At 44.8% G+C, this 23,249-nt stretch overlaps 1 annotated feature.

Moving 5' to 3' along the window:
- Nucleotides 6,420-7,206: an enhancer, noted in NCBI's record as "VISTA enhancer hs1042". NCBI's record gives its function as "enhancer in: neural tube[5/7]" and the evidence as "EXISTENCE:transgenic organism evidence [ECO:0001131][PMID:17130149]".

Genomic DNA, 23,249 nt, shown 5'->3' on the forward strand with positions numbered 1-23,249 from the left:
TACGAAATATCACTGAGCAAAATAAAAGACAACCTAAATAGAGTGCTATGTCTTGCTCATGGGTCTGAATCAGTATTAAGAAGTCATTTCTCTCCAAAATGGCATATGAATTTAATATAATTCCAAGCAAATGGACACACTAATTCTAAAATTCATTTGGAAATGCTAAGAACCTGGCATATTCAAAATAACTGTGAAAAGAAGAAAAAAGCTTGAAGTCTTATGCTACCTGATTTCAAGATTTGTTGTAAAGTTACATTAATCAAACTGTAAGTTTTGTCATCAAAATAGACAAATAGATGAAGGTAACAGAATTAGAGAGTCCAGAAATATATAACAGAATAGAATTCCGCATATATAGGGGCAGCTGATTTTCAATAAAGTGCAAAAGACAATTCAATGAGGACAGGGTAGCCTTTTAAACAAATAGTGCTTGAAGCATTTGGATATCCATATGCAAAAATATCTAAACTTTGATCTGTACCTTCTACCATATATAAAAATTTAAAAAAATGGATCATGGATCCAAATATAAAACATAAACTATAAACTATGAATATATACATATAAGTATAAATCCAAATATAAAACATAAACCTATAAAACTTCTAGAAGAGACAGGAGAGAATCTTTGTGACTTTGGATTAGGCAAAGAGTTCTTAGATAAGACAACAAAAGCATAAGTCAAAGAAGACATGGACCAACTGCCTTTCATCAACATTAAAAACATTTGGTCTTCAAAAGATACTGTCAAGAGAGAACACAAAGATAAGCCACAGGCTGAGAGGAAAGCTTTGTAGAACAAATATCCGCTAAAGGACTTATATCCAGTATATTTAAGGAGCTCTTAAAATTTTATATTAAGAATACAAAGACCCCCCAAAAATTGAACAGAATATGTAAACAGAGACTTTATCAAAAAAGATAAATAGATGGTGAATAGGTACATGAAAAGATGTTCAACATCATGAGCCATTAGGGAAGTGGAAATTACAGCCATAAAGTGAGATCACTATACACCAATTAAAATGTTGAAAATTAAAAAGACTGATCACACCAAGTGTTGGTGAGGATGTGATGGAAAAAAAACTCATATATTGCAGATGTTAATGAAAATGGTACAATCACTTTAAAAACAGTTTGGCAGTTTCTTAAAGTGTCAAGCATATATCTACTATATAACTTAGCTATTCCATTCCTAGATATTTGACTAAGAAAAAAGGAAAACATATGTCTACACAAAGACTTGTACACAAATGTTCATAGTAGCCTTATTCACAGTAGCCTCAAATTGGAAATAGTCCAAATGTTTGACTACAGGTGAATGGATAAATTATGACTCTAGTCATAAAATGAAATACTACTCAACAATAAAATGTAATGAATTATTGATACAGGTAACATGGATAAATCTTAAAATAATCATACTGGGTGAAAGAAGTCAGACAAAACAGAATACCTACTGTATAAGTTCATTTATATAAAACTTTAGAAAATGCAAACTAATCTATAGTGACAGGAAGCAAATCAGTGATTGTCTAGGATGGGGAGGGAGAGAAAGGAGGATTATAAAAGGCCATAGGAAAATTGTTGGGATGATGGATATGTTCACTATCTTGGTTGTGGTAATGGTTTCATGAGTATACACATACCAAATTGCATACTTTAAATATGTGTGGTTGACTGTATATGAGTTATACCCTAATAAAGGTGTTAAAAATAGGCTATCTGGCTGCTTGGTTGAAACAGTTTGTAGATGACAAACATCAAAGAGAAGGCCTCTTTTGGAAGTCCACTGCAATTAGTTCAGGTGAGAGATGATTGGAGCTTGAGCTGGGGTGATAGTAGGGAAGGTGGTGAGTGAAGGTGGGATTCCAGATATGTTGGAGATGGGCTGTGAGAGGAAAAGGTATTGAGGCTTGGGATGCAGTTTCCTGGCATGGGGATGGCTCTGGGAGATTAAATAACTTTCCCTAGTCATGCTGCGAACTAGAGGCTATTCTGGGATTGAAATCCAGATCTGCCAAGCTCCATGGAAGTCCTGAAGAGCAAGGGCTCCCTCCCTTCTCACTGTTTGTGAACCCTAGGGTGAGGAGAGATGGAGTGTGGGTACAGGACCTGGCTGAGAAATATCTGGATGTGGAAGGTTCCTGCTTGCCTGAAATGCAGGGCCCTGTGGTCCTGATTTACCCCAAGCTTCCTCAGTTCCTGGGGGAAGGTAAGATGGGCCAAGGTAGGAGAGAAGAAGGACAAACTGGATGAACCAAGTAGGTGCCTAGAACTCAAGGCAACCTTGACACTGAAGTGAGGGTCCTAAGAGTGCAGTTCCTTAACAACTTCAAACCCTGCTGAACTCACCAGACCCTGAGCCTTGAGAGTGTGACTGAGCACATGGAGGGCTGTGGGTGTGGTACATAGGAGTGGCTGTATTATGTAGGGTGACCAATTCATCCCAGTGTGCCAGAACTGCCCAGGTTTTGGCACTGAAAGCTTATTCCAGGGAAAATGTGGACGGTTGGTCATCCTACCTGTGTGCCTGAATGAATGGGCATGGATGTGTGTGTGTGTGTGTGTGTGTGTGTGTGTGGTGTGCATCTGTGAGTTCTTGGGCCTGTGCAAGTGGGTAGAGCTAAGTACATGAAGGAGGACGTGTTAAGGAGTGTGTATCCACGTGTAAGGGTGTTACTGGGACTTCGTAGATGTCTCAGGCAGATTTATTTATCCCCTCTCCTGACTCCTTCTGTGCTTCCAGAAAGAATTAGAGGTGGCTCTATGTGCAAAGGCAGTGTTCTGAGTGGTGGAGAGTGTGGACTCTGGAGTTTGAATGGACCTGGCTTCACATCCTGCCTCAACCACTACTGCCTCTGTGACCTTGAGCAAGCAACCTAACCACTTTGTGGGTCATTTTCCTCAGTGAACAATGGACACAAGGACCCTTTATCATGGCCACAAAAGAAATAATACATCTAGAAGGATGGCCACTCAGTAATCGTTCAGTTCATTGTAGTGATTACTGTCACTGTTCTTGTGAGTCTGGTGTGTGAGACTGAGTGTTGTCTTATGGAGTGTGTGACTGTGAGTGTGTGCCTGTGTGCATGTGCATGAGTGTGCATGTGTGAGTGCGTGCAATTTTGTGTGTGTATGTGTGCATACTTGTGTGAATGTACGTGCATGTATGGCAGTACCCATGCAGGTGTATGTGAGTGCATGCATGCACATGTGTGAGTGTGTGTGTTTCTGCTCATACAGAGCCATCCACTCTCAGGGTGAGCAAGCTACCTTGGGCTTGGTCAGGAAGATTGTGTGGGGTGGGTAGAGACCAGGGTCCCTGGAGACGAGGTGTCTGGAATCTCTGCGTTCTTTTTCATGGTGCCCTCAGCTCCCAGCAGGGCTCTGGCCCCAGTTCTCAGTGATGTGCGTTGGATAGGATTGAGTTCTGTATTGTACAAACTGCCTTATTAAAATATATGTTGTGCATTCATGAATCTTTAATATGAGGCACTTAGTGAGTCCATAATCTCCTCAATTGAGCTGTATAAAGGAGGACTGTGGGGGAGATGAAGACTTTCTGCAGAGGCTGCAGTGAGGAGGGGCAGCTGGGGGTGGGGACAGAAGGTTCTCACATATGAGGGTGGGGGACGAAGGGACAGAAGGTTCTAGCATATAAGGGGAGGAGGAGGATGAGGATGAAGGAGTGATTCCCCCAGAGGAAGGACAGCAGATCCCACAAACAGAGGATGGTGGTTCTTGTGGACTGAAGGAGGCAGTTTCCATACACTGAGGACAGCTTTTCTCCCAGATGGAAGGAGAAAATAGGTGGTTCCCATGGACTGAGGGAGGATGAAGGAAGAAAGTGGTTCCCAGAGACCAAGGGAGGTGGTTTCTACAGATGGATGGAGGAGAGAGGCACTTCTCATAGACAAGGCAGGTGGTTCTCACAGCCTGAGGGAAGAGGGAGGAAGGAGGTGGTTCCCAGAGGCAGAAGGAGTAGGGAGGCAGTTTTCACAGAGGGAGGAGGGAGAAAGAAAATGGTTCCAAGATACCAAGGGAGGTGGTTCCTTCAGATGCAGGAAGGAAGTTCTCACAGATAGAAGGAAGTGGTTCTTACAGACATAGGGAGGCAGTTCCCACAGGATGTGGGGAGTGGGTGGTTAAGATCCACCAAGGCTGCAGGGTCTGATCTAGGTATTACTCTTGCAAAGAGGTTGACTATGTAAAGGGAGAGGACCTATGTATTTTATGGCCATCTGGTCAGGCTGGCAGGAGGAGGTCAGATTGCCCTGGGAGGCTTGGTGCATTATGGGACTAGAGTGACTTTTCTTGGAGCCAAAGGCCTGTCCGTGGCTTCTTTTACTCAAGCTGTACACTGTCTCTGCTTACTGGCCTGCTTGCATGCTGCAGGCCCTGCTCAGAGAACCTGCCCCACTGCCTTGTCTGCTTAGCTGTAGCCATTGGACCAAGGGGCATCTGCTGATCTGTTGTCAGACATCTCTCATTGCTGTGAGATGCCCATGCATAGCTCAGAACTTGGCATACAGACTGTTCATTAAATATTTGTTGGATGTGTGCTGGAGTCCCCACTGTACCTAGAAGAAATGGAAGTGTGGAAAGATTAAGAAATTTGCACAAAGTCACTTGGCTGTTGTCAGATAAGGAGATCAATCACATTCTCTCTTAAGAATATAATTTGGAGACATAAAATAGGAGTTGGTAGACGGCATTTGAGCTAAAAGTTCATGCACAGTTGGGGCTGGAGTTGGTGTCTTGACAACCTAATTTATTTGAATTATTGGGTGACAGGTGGGGGTGAGTAGGCAAAAAACGTACAATGAAAGAAACCCCTCTGAAGAGGAGATAAAGCTGACTGCAGAGAAAAGTGGAGATCAAAAGACAGAGACAGATGTAGAGAAAGAGGAGAAAGGTGCACTCTTCCTTCCTTCCTGAATGGGAGCAGGTTTGAATGAGTTCAAGACCCTCCCAGGGCTGAGCTTCTGGCCTGAATGCCTTGGGCACTCAGTCTTTGCTGAGGCAGGTACAGGACAGACATTTTCTCACTGGATTTTCACCGTCGTCTTGTACTGTGTGTTTCCCATTTTATGGTTGGGAAAACTGAAGCTCTGATTGGTGACAAATGCCCAGGGGCACACAACTGGGAGGACACAGAGGCCAGATTGAAAACTACTCTTTTCTAGCTCACTGCTCTCTAGCCACACTGGCCTGGGACAACCCCCAGTCCTGTCTCGGGGTCTTTGCACTTTCTGTCCCTCTGCCTGAAACACTTTATCCTTATGTCCACGTAACTGGCTCTTTCTGAACCTTGAGGTCTCAGCTTGGTGTTGCCTGCTTGAGAAAGTTCCCCTGGTCACCCTGTCTAAAGCAGCCACTACAAGCTTTTATTCAGTAATAGCCCTTTGGGGTTGCTGTTGCTGTTGTTTATTAGTTTTGGTCTACACGGCATTTATCACAATTGGTAATTATTTTATTGATTCAATGATTTAACGATTCACACACATCCTGTAAGCTCCATGGAGAGAGGCATGGCCTGTGTTTTTGCTGTGAGATGCCCATGCATAGCTCTGAACTTGGGCATACATATTATGTTCATTAAAAATTTGTTGGAGTCTCCATTTTACCTAGAAGGAACGGAAGTGTGGAAGGATTAAGAAATTTGCCCAAAGTCACTGAGAAAACGAATAGCTGGAGCAGGGGTTGAACCAGCATCTGATCCAGCTCCAGAGTCCACACTCTTCTTCGACTGTCACACTAGGAAATTTCCATGTACTCCTCCTTTGTGAAAATCACCGTTTCTCTGGGCTGGAAGATGTGGCAGAAAAGGCTGTCTCCCACTGGTCTGGGCAGTGAGCACACTCCACACCCCTGCTGTTTACCCCCTGTCCTGAGCTGCAGTGGTCAGGACGTCAAGGTTCAAGACTCAGCCCTGTGCTAGCTTGCTGTGGGAACTTAGGTGATCAATTACCTGTGCGTGTCTCGTCTCCTGCCAGCCATGTGGCTGAGGCCCTGCTGTGCCCTGTGCTGAATAAAGACACAGAGAGAGAGTCAGGAGTGTCCAGGAGCAGGGTGGGTGTTGAAGTGCCTGCTCAGCTTCTGCCATATTTCATTGTCATAGCTATCAACCTTCCTTAATTTCAAAGGTGAGTTTGAGCACCTGGGAGTGAGGGGAGAGGGATGCCAAGGGTCAAAGGCGAAGCATGGCAGAAGACAGGTCACTGCTGCCACAGGCACTCAATGTCTCTCCCTCTGGGAGTGGGCTAGGGGGATGTTTATACTCTTGAAAGCAAGAAACTAGGCACTGGAGGGGCTTTAGGAGGTGAGGAGTGGAAAGAGTCTGCTGCCCTGGTTCACTGAGGTGGAAGCCAATAGAAGAGGAGGGCACTTGGTGCCTGGGCATGGAGGGGAACTCTGACTATCCTGTCCCTGCTCCCAAGACCAAGAAGAGCACTGGGGCCACTCCTGGGCGCTGACTCCCTGCACTCTGGCTCAGCTATGTGGAGGAGGCCCCTGGGAGAGGGGCCTGGGGGGGCCACCAAAGAGGAGGTGGACGAAAAGCCATCCTGCTGTGTCTCCCTGAAGCAGCACGAGCACACGCAATTATAAGACAGTGGGCAGATGACAGAGTTAGTTAATGTAACAAGCCCTTTAAGCATTTAGCCACATTCGAGTGTTTAATCAGCTGTGTAAAGTGCAATATCTATCTTTCAATTTTATGCCATTAGGGGAGACAAGATTTTGATTAGGTACTTAATCTGTGCACGGAAAAAACAGGCCCACAGCAAGCCCACGATGGGGAGGGAAAGGGACATTGGACGGGGGATTCGATAAAGGGGAAAGACAGAAATTTAACATAAAAGAGAATTAGTGCAGCTCCTTTCAATTTAGTGCCCAGGCTTTATGGCCTAATCAATTAGAGGCCTGGCCAAGCCTGCTGGGAAGCTGCTCGGCTGGGCTGGAGGCTCGGCCATATTAATTCCTTTCATTACGCGGGGGTCAGGCTGAGGGCTTTGGGGGGGCTCGGCAAGGAGTGGGTCACTTCTCGGGCACTGGCTCTAGAAGCCAGGGGAGGAGGTCAAATGGTGTCATGCTGGACAGGAAGTGTCCTGGGGGCTCAAGGAGGGCTGGGTACCCAGTAGGGTGGGACTGAGAGGGTTCTGGGGGGGTGCAGGCCCATGAGGTGGTGTAAAGTGGTGGGTGAGCCCTTTAGTTGTGGAGTAGGAGAGGCCTGGGTTTGCAGACCAGCTTTGTGACCTATTGGCTGTGTGATCTTGGACAAATTACTTGGCCTCTCTGTGCTGCAGTTTTCTGTAGAACTACAACTGTGGCTACTCCAAAGGGTTGCCATGAAGAGAAAAAGAAAGTAGCATGCAAAGAGCTTACTTAGCATAGTATGTGGCTGAGTGAGCACTCACTCAATGTTAGCTATTATTGTTATTTGTTTCTAATACTATTATATGTGCCACTGGAGGTAACATTTTAACAGGCAGGAGCTTTAACTGCCACCACCACCACTTCCTTTACACACCAGTCATTGTGCTAGATGCTCTTTCTATTACTAACAGTAGTTTTACAGGTTGGTGCTATTGCCTGCAGTTTACAAATGGGGAAAGTGAGGTTAAACAACTTGTCCAATGTCACACAGTGTTGGAGGCCCCAGAATTAACACTTTCTCTCATGGTCCTTCCTATCACAGGGTGCTCACTCCTTGCTCTCATGGCAGAGTTAAATGGGACTGAATTCCTTAATGGTAGAGGTCACCAGGAAAGGGTAGCCTTCCTAAATGTTCCCAAGGGCTCTAGATCTTAACAAGTCACCTTCCAGTTACTGAGTGAATTGTAGAAAAGATGCCTGAGGCTGGGCCAGTGACCTTTACAGAATCATGGAGACCTTAAACCCTGGGAAACGAAAGTTGGTATCCTGAAAGTTTTCTTAAGCCATGGCCCATGAAAGACAGAAAAAGTAGGGCTGCTTGGGGTGGAATGGAAATGAACAGCTGGGTCGCCTTCACCACCTCCTCTGTGGCTCTAGCATGTCCTGAGAGGCACCTGGGCAGGACCTCAGGGTCCAGAGAGCCCACTGTGAAACCCCTAGAGCTGTGAGTGAGTTGGATGCAGAGTTCAGGTGGTAAAGCTCTAGAGGGACTGTTAAAGAAAAGCCGGGAAGGAAGTGGAGACCGTTGGAACCAGCAAATGTGTCAGTTGAAGGGGCTTTTCTTCTTTAGCAGATATGGGAAGGGGGTGAGGGAGCATGCTAAGATTTATTGGGCACCTGTTGGCTGACTTCTCGCTCAGTAGCTGTGAGACTTAGGGCAAATCATTCACTTTCTCTTGCCAGTTTCTTCAGTTGTAACCTGGAGTGATCATGGTTCCTTCCTCACAGGCTGGTTGTGAGGAGGGGATAAGCTGATGTATGTCAAGTGCCGAGAACCCTATGTGGCACTGAGCTGAGTAGGGATTTGAATAAATATTAATTATTGCTATTACCGGCTGTTACCTCAGCACTTTCTAAGTGACAGGCCCAGTGCTAGGAACTGTATATGTGATACCATCCCATGCCATTCCTGTGCCACCTGTGTGGGTTGTTGATATGGTGTCAGTTACAGCGATGAAAAGTTTAAGTTCAGAGAGATGAAGTGACCTGTCTGATATCACACAGCTGGTGTGCAATGGGGAGGAGACCATCTCCTTGACCGCTAGTTGCTTCTAAAGGCCTTCTTCCATGAAGTGCCACCTCGACAGGCATATGGTATGGCCAGAGTGAATCTAAACTCCAGCAGGACATTTGGGAAATTATGTAATCTGTTCAACATGTATTTGTTGAACACCTACTATGTGCCACATACCATAAGCCCTGTGAAGGTAGGACTCACATCTGTCATTGCCACTGCCACCGAGGAACCACTTCACATGTTTGTATAATGAATGAATGGGTGAGTGAATGGATGTTATACTGAGCCACATCCTCAGTATCCTTGAGGAGAGGGTGGAGAGACGTGAATGACTTGATTTTGGTATTAGGTGGAGTGGGAGGCAACATGATAGAGTGGACAGAAAAATGAGAATCTCTGGATTGGAATCCTGGACTTCTCTCTCTGCAGTTAGATGAGATGTGTAACCTCTCTGAGCCACTTTCTTGTGTTTGGCAGGGGCAGGACAAAAGTCCTGCTCTTCTTGCCTTTTCCCCTGGCTGAGATGATCAAGGGAAATTTCTTGGCTCAAGGTCTGGCGCATGATAGAGGCTCAATGAATGTTACTTGCTATCCATCCTGCTTTTTTTTTTTTCTTGAATGATCAATAAATCAGTGAACCCATAGTTGGTATCAGCCACGAGGGAATCTTTTATTGAGGTGTCATTAGGGTTTGTCCTTGATCTCTCCCTGTTGACATTTTCAGAAATATGTCAAATAAGCATGAAACAACAGTCCAATTACTGCTCCCAGGGCATCCTGTTCTTCATAGTATGATCCTTGGTTTTAAATCCTGTGCTGCTTTTGTCTATTAGACTAGATTTCCACTAGGGTAGGGAATTAATCTTGCTCATTGGAGCAGACTAGCTGCTCAGAACACTTTTTTTTTTTTTATTTGAGACTTTGAGTCTTGCTCTATCGCCCAGGTTGGAGTGCAGTGGCGTGATCTCAGCTCACTGCAACGTTCGCCTCCCGGGTTCAAGCGATTCTCATGCCTCAGCCTCCCGAGTAGCTGGGATTATAGGCACACACCACCACGCCCAGCTAATTTTTATATTTTTAGTAGAGATGGGGTTTCACCATGTTGTCCAGGCTGGTCTCGAACTCCTGACCTCGTGATCCACTCGCCTTGGACTCCCAAAGTGCTGGGATTACAGGTGTGAGCCACTGCACCTGGCCTCAGAACATGTTTTTGCCAAAGGACTAAATAAATGGATGGATGAGAGACAGAGATGGCCTTGCAGTACCGTTGTTGATGGGACATAGATGGGCAGGATAGTTTATTGTGCAGTAGCACCAAACATAAGAAGCTTTCTTGAGGTGATAGCACTGGGCTGAGTTTTACAGAATAAAATTGGACGGACAAAACTGTCAGCCTCTGCACACGGATCCTGTAAACCAGCTGTATAAACATAAGCGTGGGTGAGAGCGACCACTTAACCTTGTCCTTCTTGATTCCTTAGTCGTTTGGAGCAGAGGTTGGCAATGTTTTCTACAAATGGCCAGACAGTAAATATTTTAGGCTTTGAGGACCCTGCAGTCTCTGTTGCCGCTATTCAAGTCTTGTTGTAAAAGCAGCCTTAGACAGTATCTAAGCAAAGGAGTGTAGCTGTGTGCCAGTAAAACTTTATTTACAAAAGCAGGCAGCCAGCAGATTTGGCCCGTGGGTGGGTGGTTGCCAATTCCTGATTTAAAATACAGCCCCAGGGAGTAATCTTACAGCCATACAGCTTCACATCCACCTTAATTAACATTGACTCTGGGCAGCTGTGCTCCCATTTCACAGAGGAGAACACTGAGGCGGATAGGCAAAGAGTCTGTTGCAGAGCTGGACTCAGCAGGGCTGTTGCTCCAGACATGGCAAAAAATATCAGCTGCCACGGAACACATTATACGTCACGCACTTAACATGCATCATCCACAGAGCATCCTCATTGACCTGGAGAGGTCTATCCTCTTATTCTCCTTTTTACGGTTGAATAAACCTGGGCTCAAGGAGGTTAAATGACTGACTTATGGTCCCACAGCAAATGATTTAGCATTTATTTAAGAAGATTTATTGAGCATCCACTCTCTTCCAGATGCTTTTGTACAGTTGGGGCTAAGGGAAACCCCTGACCTCAACGTGCTTACATTGTACTTGAGGAGAGTGGACAATGAATGAATGAAATGAATCAACAATATAGAACGTTAGAAGGGAATAAGGGCCTGTCAGTCAGGACAGGCATGGCTTAAAGCAAGAGTCGGCAAACTCTGACCCGTGGGTCAAATCCTGCCCACTGCCTGTTTCTGTAAATCAAGTTTTAGTGGAACACAGCCATGCCCATATGCTTCTGTGCCTATTTTCATGCTATGGGAGAGTTAAGTTGCTGCAGCAGGAATTGTGTGGCTCTCAAAGCCAGAAATTTTGTGACCTCTGGTTTCAACCAGGGTTTATTTCTTGTTGATGCTTTATGCCCCTCTGGGTGGGCCCAAGAGCACAGCCTATTGGTCCCTCAGGGAACCAGGCCAGTGGGGCACCCACTACCTTGAATATTTGCAAGGCAAAGCAAGATTCTGGAAAGAGTCTCATATGGGCAATTAGGTGCCTGGCCTAGAAGTGACATGTGCCATTTCTGCTCAGAATTTTTTGGCTTTACCCAACAGAAAGAGTTCTAACTTTGCCATGGGTTTAGAAGGTGAAGAGCTAGAAATATTTGGTGAGTTGCCCTGATGACCACATGTGCTATGAGAAATAAGTAACCAGGGTAAGCTGACAGGAAGTGCCAGGGGCTTTTCAATTTTAAGCAATGCCTCCAGGGAGGGCGTGGATGAGAAGTCAGCTGGGATTTGAGCCCAGGTCTACCCATCTTGAAAGAGTGTCCTCTCACCCTCCATGCTATGCTACTGTACCCTCCATAGCCCATAAAGAACGGTTGCTGGGAAGGTCATTTGCTGGCCAGATGGGGAAGCACACTCCCCTTGTGAACTCTTGCCAAAGGCCTCACTGCCCCTGTCCCCAGCCGCCTCACTCCAGCTGTGGGATTTCTGACTCTCACAGGTCACAACCCCATAGCGATCACAACCAGGCACTTTGCTCTCCAGTCCTGGGAGAGATGGGCTGGGGGAGGAGGGCGAGAGGCCCTCTCTGCGAGGCTGTGACTCCACGAGGCACTACATTAACGTTATTAATAACCCTCTCAGCCTTTATTGAAAAGATGCTCTCCGTGCCTGAATTTGCCACTATGGCAACCCATTTATTAAGGCTGTAAGAGCTGGAGTCACTTCAGACCATATTTATTACCATGATTTGCTGAGGGAAGGCTCTGATCTGGGACTGGGGCAATTGGGGGAGAGAACGTGTAGTTGCTTAGAGGGAAGGTCTTGGCTCACCTTGCCAGTAGGTCAGCGAGGGATGCGGTTTCATTCTCTCCCAACTAGATCAGGACTCAAATTGCAGGTGGGGAGCTTGGGGGTTGAACACAGTGGTGATTCCTTCTCTTTTTTTTTTTTTTTCTTTTTGAGACGGAGTCTCGCTCTGTCCCCTAGGCTGGAGTGCAATGGCACAGTCTTGGCTCACTGCAACCTTCACCTCCCAGGTTCAAGCGATTCTCCCACCTCAGCCTCCCAAGTAGCTGGGATTACAGGCACACACCATCATGCCTGGCTAATTTTTGTATTTTTGTAGAGACGGGGTTTCACCATGTTGGCCAGGCTGGTCTTGAACTCCTGACCTCAGGTGACCCGCCCTCCTCAGCCTCCCAAAGTGCTGGGATTACAATCGTGAGCCACCACACCTGGCCTGATTCCTTCTCTTAGTGTGCATACAAGGACAGCAAGACTCAAAGGAGCCAAGTGAGTCCCCAGGGGCACAGAGCTGTGGCCAAGTGAGCAGTAGTGGGGGTCCTACAAGGCGGGGGCTGATTTTTCTACAAAAATATAAACTAGATTTCTCTCTCTTTCTCTCTCTCTCTTTCTCTCTCCTCCCTCCTTCTTCTTCTCGTGATATATAATAAACTGTTTTAGCACCAGAAAAAAAAACTCACAACATCCACAGTGATGGTAACACCGCCACCAGCTAATGCAATCAGTGCTGGGCTAAAGGATTTCTGTTAATTCCCCTCTTTGAATTCTCACCATAGTCCTCTGTGGGTTTTATCGTTGACCTCATTTTACAGAGGAGGACCCTGAGTTCTGGGGAGATTAGGTATCTTGTCTAAAGTCATACAGCAAGTAAGTGCAGAGCTGGGACTCAAAGCCAGTTCTGATTCCAAAGCATGTTCTCGTATCCTGCATACCACATCATCTCCTTTTTTGTTGTTGTTGTTGTTCTTGTCCCCTTTTCAGATTCCAGAGGAGTGACAGGCTCATGTGCATGGACACCTTCTCCAATAACCGTTCCTTTGTCTCTCTCAGGTCCCTTCCTCTAGAATAGTCTCAATATGAGCACTTGGTCAATGGAGTGGGATTTGCATTAGTTTGCTCAGGCTGTTGTAAAAAAGTTGCACAAACAGAGTGACTTTAACAACAGACATTTATTTTCTCACAATTCTGGAGGCTACAAGTCTGAGTTAAAGGTGTTGGCAGGGTTGGTTTCTTCTAAGGCCTCTCCCATTGGTTTGCGGATGGCTGTCTCTTCACTGTGTCTTCACATGGTCTTCCTTCTGTGTATGTCTATGCCCTATTTTCCTCTTCTTATAAGAAAACCGATCATATTGAACCAGGCCCCCCCACCCCAGTGACTTTATTTAAGTTTATATATATTTTCTTTTTTGAGACAGGGTCTGGCTCTGTCATCCAGGCTGGAATGCAGTGGCATGATCTCAGCTCCCTGCAACCTCTGGCTCCCAGGCTAAAGCCATCCTCCCACCTCAGTCTCCTGAGTAGCTGCCAGCATGCCCAGCTAATTATTTTTGTATTTTTTTGTAGAGATGGGGTTTCACCATGTTGCCCAGGCCCCAGGCTGGTCTCGAACTCCTGAGCACAAGCCATCTGCCTGCCTTGGTCTCTCAAAGTGCTGGGATCACAGGTGTGAGCCACCATGCCCAGCCTCAATTTTAATTACCTGTGTAAAGGCCCTATTTCAGAATACAGTAACATTCTGCAGTATTGGGCACTGGGGACTTCAACGTATGAATTTTGGGGGAATGGAATTCATCCCATGCAGGATTCAAGACCAACTTCCCGGCATCTGAAGCTCTCTGGGGTCAGAAGAGAACATCCATGGAGTTCTGCAGTGGAGCACTGGAGGCAACTGGCTCCTGTCTACACTGAAAGCTCTCATTCCCCAGGCCTCACTGGAGCGCAGGTCACATTGATTCCATCTCGAAATGGTCCTCTCAAAAGGGCAGGAACTGTCTATAATTCCCAAAGTCTTCTCTTCCATTCTAGGCCCTGGGCACACAGTTGCCCCACAGCTGTTCCTTCCTTCACATACTTTTCGCCGTTGCCCATTTAAGATGTGCTTCTGGGTATATCTGCAATCTTCAGGCCTAGGATGCCTCCTGTTTCTCTTCCCTGGGTTTGTGCTTTTTATTTCTGCTCTCTTTCCATGACTGACTACATCCTTCCTGGCCTCCCTCCCTCTTTCCTTTCCTTCTTACCTCCCTTTCTCTCTCCCTTAGTCCTTTCTTTCTAACTCTCTTCCTTACCCCCAAAACCATTCTCTATACACGTGTCCCATGTTAGGGACTGTGCTAGATGCTGGGGATTCAATGAAGAGCCTAAACTAAAAATTTAAAGCAAAGATAGATGCAAAACTGGAACCTCTCTAACATAGGCCCCATTCTCATGCAACTTCAGACTAGGAAGGAAAAGGGTAACGAAAGATTACTGCAAGTTAATGCATGGAAAATTGCACCTGCGAAAGTGGCAAGGAAAGGCAGTTGTCATGAGAACATAAAATAGAAAGATTTCTTCTTGCCAGGGAGGCCAGCGGGTGAGGCTGAGCTGAGCCGAGCCTTGGAGGAGGCATGAGGCTTAACTGGGCAAGGTGACAGATGGGGCAGAGGTTTCATGCACGAGGCAAATGATTTAGGCTGTGCAAGGAAAAAGCTGAGCGCGATTGAAGAGACAAAAGTAGGACAGTGTAATTGGAGGAAAGAGAGCAAGAAGCAATGTATGAGATGAGGTTGGCAGAGGCCAGATCATGAGAAGCATTAATGATTTGTTGAGAAATCCATTCATTTAGCCTCAGTGGAATGTGGAGCCACTGATGGGTATTGAGCAGGGAGTGGGACTAGGCAAAGAGACCAGGTTGGTGAGTACAAAAGATCATCCAGGCTGTTGAAAGAAACCTGAGTGGAGGTGGGGAGGTCTGAGCATGTGGCTGGGTGGGGTGGGATATGTTAACAGATAGATATCTTTCATTCTATGCACCCATTGGACTTTTTACTTTTTCCTTAGTAGAAGCTGTCGCTTGTAAGACCAGATAGCAAAGACACTAAATTATTGTCTTTTTTTTTTAAGTTTATTTTGAGCTAATTTTATACTCATGTCATAGTTGCAAAAGTAATACAGAAAATTCCCATTCTTCCAGCTTCCCCTGATAGCATCTTTTATAATCACAGTATAATGATCGAAACCAGGAAACTGACATTGGTACAATATTATTAAGTAAACTGTAGACATGTTTTCACCAGTTGATATCACTGCGTGTGTGTGGTTTTTATTTTTATTTTTTTGAGACGGACTTTTGTTCTTGTCACCCAGGCTGGAGTGCAGTGGTGTGATCTTAGCTCCCTGCAAACTCTGCCTCCCAGGTTCAAGCAATTCTCTTGCCTCAGCCTCCTGAGTATCTGGGATTACAGGCACCTACCACCATGCCCAGCTAATTTTTGCATTTTTGTATTTTTTTTTTTTTGAGACAGAGTTTTTTTCTTGTTGCCCAGGCTGGAGTGCAATGGCACAGTCTTGGCTCACTGGGATTACAGGCACCCGCCACCATGCCCAGCTAATTTTTGCATTTTTGTATTTTTTTTTTTTTTTTTTTGAGGCAGAGTTTTGTTCTTGTTGCCCAGGCTGGAGTGCAATGGCATGGTCTCAGCTCACTGCAACTTCCCCCTCCCAGGTTCAAGCAATTCTCCTGCCTCAGCCTCTGGAGCAGCTGAGATTGCAGGCATGTACCACCACGCCCAGCTAATTTTTTTGTATTTTTAGTAGAGACGGGGTTTCACCATGTTAGTCAGGCTGGTCTGGAACTTCTGACCTCAGGTGAGCCACCTGCCTCTGCCGCCCAAAGTGCTAGGATTACCGGCAAGACCCACCACACCCGGCTGTGTATGGGTTCTGAATTGTGGACTTTTAAATTTTCAAGGTGTGTGGCAGAAAACGAAACAACCTTGCCAAGCTAGTGCCCTCTATCCCAAATACTTAAAGAACTTCTGGGTTTCTAAATGGATGGAAATGAGGGAGAGAGCATGGCACTTAGACGTGATGATTTAGTCCTAAAAAGGACAGAATCAAGCACCCTGCAGTGTGCTTCTCTTGGATGGCTGGGGCAGCTCTGTGGTGAATTTCCATCCTCCACTCTTTTCCCCGGCTCTGTCATCCACTCTACTCCCAGCTTTTAGATTTGCTGAAAGCCCACCTCTGCCTGTGCTCTGCAGGCCACAGCATCTCCCCTCTTCCCCCTCCCCTCTCCCCTTTCCTATGAGGTGAGGTATAGACCTCTTGGGACGTCCTCTGGATCTCTTTACCTATGGGCCCCAGCCAACCTGATATCCCCCATCTTCCTGGTAAATTCCTTCCTAGTTTAACTGTGACTTTTCTGTACCTGACCTTATTCTACCACTGGTGTCTGTGTTCATCTGTATCCTTCCATCGGGAAAACTCATTTTCTTCAATTCTGCCTTTACAAATTCTACTCACCCTTCAAGGCCTCAGCATACCCCTTCACCCCTGCCACCTTGTTTCTCATCTTCACGTGACCTCTTTCAGGTTTTAGCTCAAATGTTACCTCCTTAGAGAAGTCTTCCCACCCCAACTCCACTCCCCTCTGTCCTGACTGATTTTGTTGCTAGTACTTTCAGTCTCTGAAGTTATTCTATTGGTTGACTTGTTTCCTGTATTTTCTACAGGAAGTTTTGAGTACGTCAAGATCCAGTCTGTCTTGGCCTCCACTGTAACCCTGGTACTTGGAACAGGGGATGGCACACAAAGATACTCAGTCCGTATGTACTCAGAGACTGATTGACACATAAATTATAGTGATTGCGTTTAGTTAAATAATAATAATAATGAAAATAATAATAATAGTAGTTTTACGGCTGGGGTAGCCGCACTTTCCTCCGAACTCTACAACTTGCTGTCTTGGCTTTTGCTGTGGATTGCTCTATATCAAGGGTCACAGATGAATCTGGATAGGTCTGCCTTTATGCAGATGCAGAGTCCCTTGAGAGGGTTGGTATTCTTCATCTCTGGATCTCCTTTAGCCCCTGGCCCAGGAGTTGGCACTTGGAAAGCTGTCATGGTAAATATTCTGAATGAACAAATATTTGAATGAATGAGAAAGAGCAGCTATCATTGCTTCTATTTTGCAACTAGTAATAGTCCAGTTTAGTGTGCAGACCCATGCCAGCAGCAGAGCTGGGCAGAGGAGCCAGGCATCATCCTCTCTCTCCCCACACCCTCTGCATGCACTTGGCCTCCCTGTCTCCTGCTCTCTAGGCTCTTAGGAGTACAATATAGTTTGTACAATAAGTACAAACCCATAAAGCTCCCTCCAGTATATCTTGCTTAACCGCTCTTATCAGAATAGAGGAGAACTGAAAGGGCTTTCGAAAGAGCCATCTGTTAGTTTTCATAAAGACATTATGTGCTTCCCATCACAGGGTTTTTGCTGTCTCTGTCATGTGTCCGCCCTCCCTCCGCTGTCTGAGAGAGCAGGAGCGTGGTGCCTCTCCACTTTCCTGTCTGTGCATGGCTGCTGGAGGTGGGCTGCAGATGAGTATTTATCTAAAAGTGAAGAGATCTGACTTATAAGCAAGCCTGATATTAAATGTATAAATAATGCATCCTGTGGCATTATTTATAATGCAATAACATCCCTATAATGTAATAAAAGTATGCAGGTTCCCAGCACTTTTCTTAACCCCTTAATGTCTTGGAAGATGCTGTGGGTTTACCAGCTTCCTCATGCCTCAGGGGCTTTGGGCCATATGCCAAGCCTGGCCAGGCCCTGGCTCCTAAACAGCTGAAGCGTCTTCATAACCACCTGCAGGATAAGCTCAGTCCCAGTATATGGGGTAGTGATTTCCAAACTTTGTTGTGAGTCAGAATGGAGATTTCCTACCTTCAACCTACTGTTTTGGAATCTCATAGCATGGGGAGGGGACATTTGTGTGTTTAACCAGCTCCCTGGTAGGTTCTAAGCCATGTACATAAGGACTCTTGGTCAGTCCTGCCTTGTGACAGAATAGACTAATGAGCAGCTCCAGATCATTGCTATGGGACTCAAAATCAAGTCAATCTTGCTAGGACTGCACTGGCCTGGTGCCTCAGTTTCAGCTCCTGCTCATCTGCCCAGAATGCACATTCCTCCTGTCACTCAACATCAACTGTGTGTCTGAACCCAGCCACCCGCTGGCAGGCTCCCTCAAGGCCAACTGGTGCCTAACCGGTCCTCTGAGTTTTGCCTGCTCTGGTATTTTCTCACTTATCAGGTGGCAGAAAACTCTGGGTTGACCCAGGAAACCAGTGCTTACTTAGGTGCCTGTGTCTGATGTCTTGTAAATTCCCCTGGTTTCCAGACTGGCCTGGGATCCCAGTGCTACCCAGAGATCTACCTTTCTTTTGGGGTCTGTTTCTCATTCTCCAAAGTGGCTGTCTTGTGGTATCTAGTGTCCTTGGATTTCCAATATCTCCCTTTTACAAAAAAAAAAGACAACCTTATATACTGGGACAATGAAAAAACAGAACCCATCAGTGGCATGGATACTCTGAACTTTCTGTTCCTCACCGTGGCTGCCCACCTTCAAGTATATCTCTGCCTGTATCCATGCTGTCTGTCATCTTTCCCACCACAATGGAAGAGGTTTATGGTCTCCACCATTAGGTGACATTCCTCACTTGTGCTCTGGACCCCAACCCTGCAGCCTCCCCAGGTAACTCTCTCTATAGACAATCTCTTCTCTTTCTCCTGAATCTTCAACATGTTTCCCTACTGGTTTTCCATCAGCTTCTAAACATGATCAGCTTCTCTCACCCAACTATCATCATTTGGCTCAAGGCTTCTTCTAGCTACTATCCTATCTTCTCCCCCATCTCAACCATATTTCATAATAATAGTGGTATGTATTTGTTGACTCTTGTCAATGGATACAGTGACAATATATAGTGAATGTGCTAACTCGCCTAGTATTAATTATTTTTTTTCGAGATAGGGTTTCATTATGTTGCCCAGGCTGGAGGGCAGTGGGCTATTCCCGGCTTCATTGTAGCATACCACAACCTTGAACTCCTGGCCTCAAGCAATCCTCTCACCTCAGTCTCTTGAGTAGCTGAAAGTACATTGTACTTGGCTTAACTTATTTAATCTTCACAATAATCCTATGAAAAATTTATACTAGATGAGTTAACACCTAATTAAGGTATAGAGAGATTTGGTGACTTGCCCGGGGTACATACTAGTGTAAGGTTTGATCCTAGGCAGTCTGACTTCAAAGCAAATGTCTACATTTGCCTGTGAATCTTTCTCACCTGTTAGTCCTCCACGATTTGATTTCTACTCTCAGGTCAGCAGAGATCTCTGCATTGTTACATCCAGTGGGGACTTTTGGGGCCTAGTTGCACCTGATAGCACTGACCTCCTTATTCATTTTTGACCTTCGCTTCTTTTGTTCTTGGGTCCCCACAGTCTCCTTGTTTTCCTTTTACCTCTCTGGTCACTTCTTAGTCACATTTGCAGGCTCTTCTCTCTTGGCCCAAGACCTTACATTTTGGGATGTTCCAGGGTTCTATTCTTTTCCTTCTTTCCACTCTGCACACTGTCCCTGTCTTAATTTGTCAACTACATTCTAAGAACCTCAAGTTTTTGTTCTGATAACTAAACCAGAGGTCCATTTGTTTGCTTAAAATCTCAAAACAAATATTTCCCTAATTTAATCAATATTTGGCCTGATGTCGGCTCTTCCTCTTCCCTTTTCTGTCTCAGTCAATGACCACCAAGCATTCATCCAATTGCTCTGGCTGAAATTTGCATAGCATTTTTAACTTTTCTGTCTATTTTTTTGAGACGGAGTCTCACCTTGTCACCCAGGCTGGAGTGCATGGTGCGATCTTGGCTCATTACAACCTCTGCCTCCCGGGTTCAAGCAACTGTCCTGCCTCAGCCACCTGAGTAGCTGGGATTACAGGCGCACGCCATCACACCTGGCTATTTTTTTTTTTGTGTGTCTTTAGTAGAGATGGGGTTTCACCATGTTGGCCAGGCTGGTCTTGAACTCCTCACCTTGTGATCCACCTGCCTCGGCCTCCCAAAGCGCTAGGATTACAGGCATGAACCACCGCACCCTGCCCAACTTTTCTGTCTCTTTTACCCACTCTATCTAAACAATCACCAAGTTATATGAATTCTATCTACTAAATCTCCCCTACTCTCAACCCCGTCCACTTTCGCACTCCTCCTGATGCCCCCTGGGTCTCAATTTCCATCATCTCCTTCTTGAATTCTTGCTACCAGTTTCTAATTGGTCTCTTGATTCCAGTCTTGTGGTCCTCTATACATTAGTTATGAACTATTTAAAGTATACAGAAAATTACAGATAATGGTAAAACAGACACTCATTCATCTACCACTTAGATTTAACAAACATTAGTATTTTGCCATATTTGGATTAACTAATTGAAAAATAAAATGTTACAAATACAGTTAAAGAGCCCCATTCTTTTCTTACACATCTTTCTATCCCAAAGATAACTACTGACAAGCTGGTGTATATCTTTTCTATGTTTTAAAAATTCATATGTAAATATATATCTACAATTTGCATGATTTAAATATTTAAAATTCATATAAGTTATACTGCATGTATAATTCTGAAAAAAATTAATATTATACCTTTGAGATTTATCGATGTTGATACGTAGAGCTCTGATTCATTCATTTGAGCTGCTATGCTAAACTGTAGTTATAATCTATACTTTCCTTATCAGTTTCCCTATCCCTGGTTGCATCCAGCCTTTCTCTGTTATAATAAACGCTTGAAGAGAAATCTGCACTCCCATGTTTATTGCAGCATTATTCACAATAGCCAAGATATGGAGCCAACCTAAGTGTCCATCAACAGATGAGTGAACAAAGAAAAGGTGGTACATATCCACAATGGAATACTATTCAGCCATAAAAAAAGAATGAAATTCTGCCATTCCTGGAAATGTAGATGAATGAAATAAGTCAGACACAGAAAGATAAATACCACATGTTCTCACTCATATGTAGGAGCTAAAAATGTTGGACTCATAGAAGCAAAGAGTAGAATTGTAGTTACTGGAGGTTGGGAAGGGTAGTGGGGAGGGAAGAAAAAGGAAGTTGGTTAATGGATGCAAAAATATAGCTAGATAGGAGGAATAAGTTCTATTGTTCCATAGCTCTGTAGGGTGACTATAGTTAACAATAATTTATTGTATATTTTTAAATAGCTAGAAGAGAGGGCTTTTAATGTTCTCAACACAAAGAAATGACAAGTGTTGGAGGTGATGAATTTGCTAATCACCACATATTGTATAGTGTATCCAAATATCACTCTGTATCCCATTAATATACACAGTTACTGTGTGTCAATTAAAAAGAAGGTTAAGAAACAAGCAAGCATGCTATGCCTTGGCAAAGAAATGTCTTAGATGACTCAGAAAGTAATCTGAGACTCAAAGATACACATGGAGAATTTAAACAAAGTTGTTCCATGTTGTGAAAAAAGTGCTGCAATAAACATACTTATTCAAGGATCCTTAAATATTTATGTGTTTCTCTCCTTTTCAGGGTTAGATCTTGTATAGTCTGTTCTCACATTGCTGTAAAGAAATACCTGAGACTGGGTAATTTATAAAGAAAAGAGGTTTAATTGGCTCATGATTCTGCAGGCTGTACGGGAAGCATGGTGCTGGCAGCTGCTCAGCTTCTGGAAAGTCCTCAAGAAACTTACAATCATGGCAGAAGGCAGAGGGGAAGCAAGGTGTCTCACATGGTGGGAGCACGAGCAAGAGAGAGAGGGGGAAGGTGCTACACACTTTTAAACAACCAGATCTCATGGTAACTCACTATCAGGAGAACAGCACCAAGGGGATGGTGATAAACCATTCATGAGAAACTGTCTCCCACCAGGGCCCACCTCCAATACTGGGGACTACAATTCCACATGAGACTTGGTGGGTCACGATCTAAACCGTATCAGATCTAAAATGAGAATAGTTGAGCATTATGCTATAAGCATCTGTCTTAGTCTGTTCAGGCTGCTATAACAAAATACTACAAAAAGGTGGCTTATAAACAGCAGAAGTTTCTTACAGTTCTGGCATCTAGGAAGTCCAAGATCAAGGAACTGGCAGATTTAGGGTGTGGTGAGGGTCCACTTTCTCATAGACAGTCTTCTTTCCACTCCAACTGCACATGGTGGAAGTGGTAAGGGGTCTGTCTTGGGTTTCTTTTATAAGAGCACTAATCCCATTTCTGAGGTTCCACCTCCATGACCTAATCACTTTCCAAAGTCTCCACATTCTCTTACCATCACCTTGGGGGATGAGGATTTCAACATATGACTTTGGGGGAACATAAATGTTCAGCTCACAGTGTATCTTTACCAGATTTTGCCATTTTTTTTACAACGGTTTTCATCAATTTATACTTCCATCAAGAGTTATCAGAATTTTCATTTTCTTACATTTTCACCGCAACTCACAAATACTTAAATATGAAGAGTGAGAAGTGGTACATCATTGTTTTAATTTGTGTTTAATTGTGTTTCATACGAGAAATAGAGCATCAGAGAAGGAACAAAATTTTTGACTTTCCAGGTTATGAGGACTACTTTGATTGAATTAAATGGGTAGGGCAGAAGTCTGCTGAGCAGGAGGGGCACACAAAGGGAGAACACAGTAGGAAGGGTTGAGGTGGGAGGAGCCTGCACTTGTGATCAGGACTTAGAATGTGTGACAAAAACTAGTGCTGCACATATCACCTGAGCTGAGACTGGGAACCTCTTCTGACTCATCCTCAGATGGAAATAACCCCAGTGACTGCTCCCTGCATCCCACAGAAAAGCCTGCTTCTGGTGCCTTCTGTTTCTGAGTTGTTTTACCTTGCAGCCTCTAGGTGGCGCACCTGAGTTCTAGCTGCTCAGGCCTGTGGAAAGCGCAGGGATGACTAACAGAAGAACTGGGAGTTATCCAAGAGCCGAGGTCCTAGGGTGAAGAGGTGCAGGGGAGCTCAAGCCAGTGTTTAGTAATAATTTTAAAACCCTAATTGCAAGGGGTGAAGCAGATTATAACAGTTACAGTGATGATATGAAGAGCAGTATAATACAGATTTTAATTAATTTTTCATTCAGCACATATTTGTTGAATGTCTGTTGTATGC

This window comes from Homo sapiens, chromosome 20 (genome assembly GCF_000001405.40).
Source record: "Homo sapiens chromosome 20, GRCh38.p14 Primary Assembly".
NCBI lineage: Eukaryota > Metazoa > Chordata > Mammalia > Primates > Hominidae > Homo > Homo sapiens.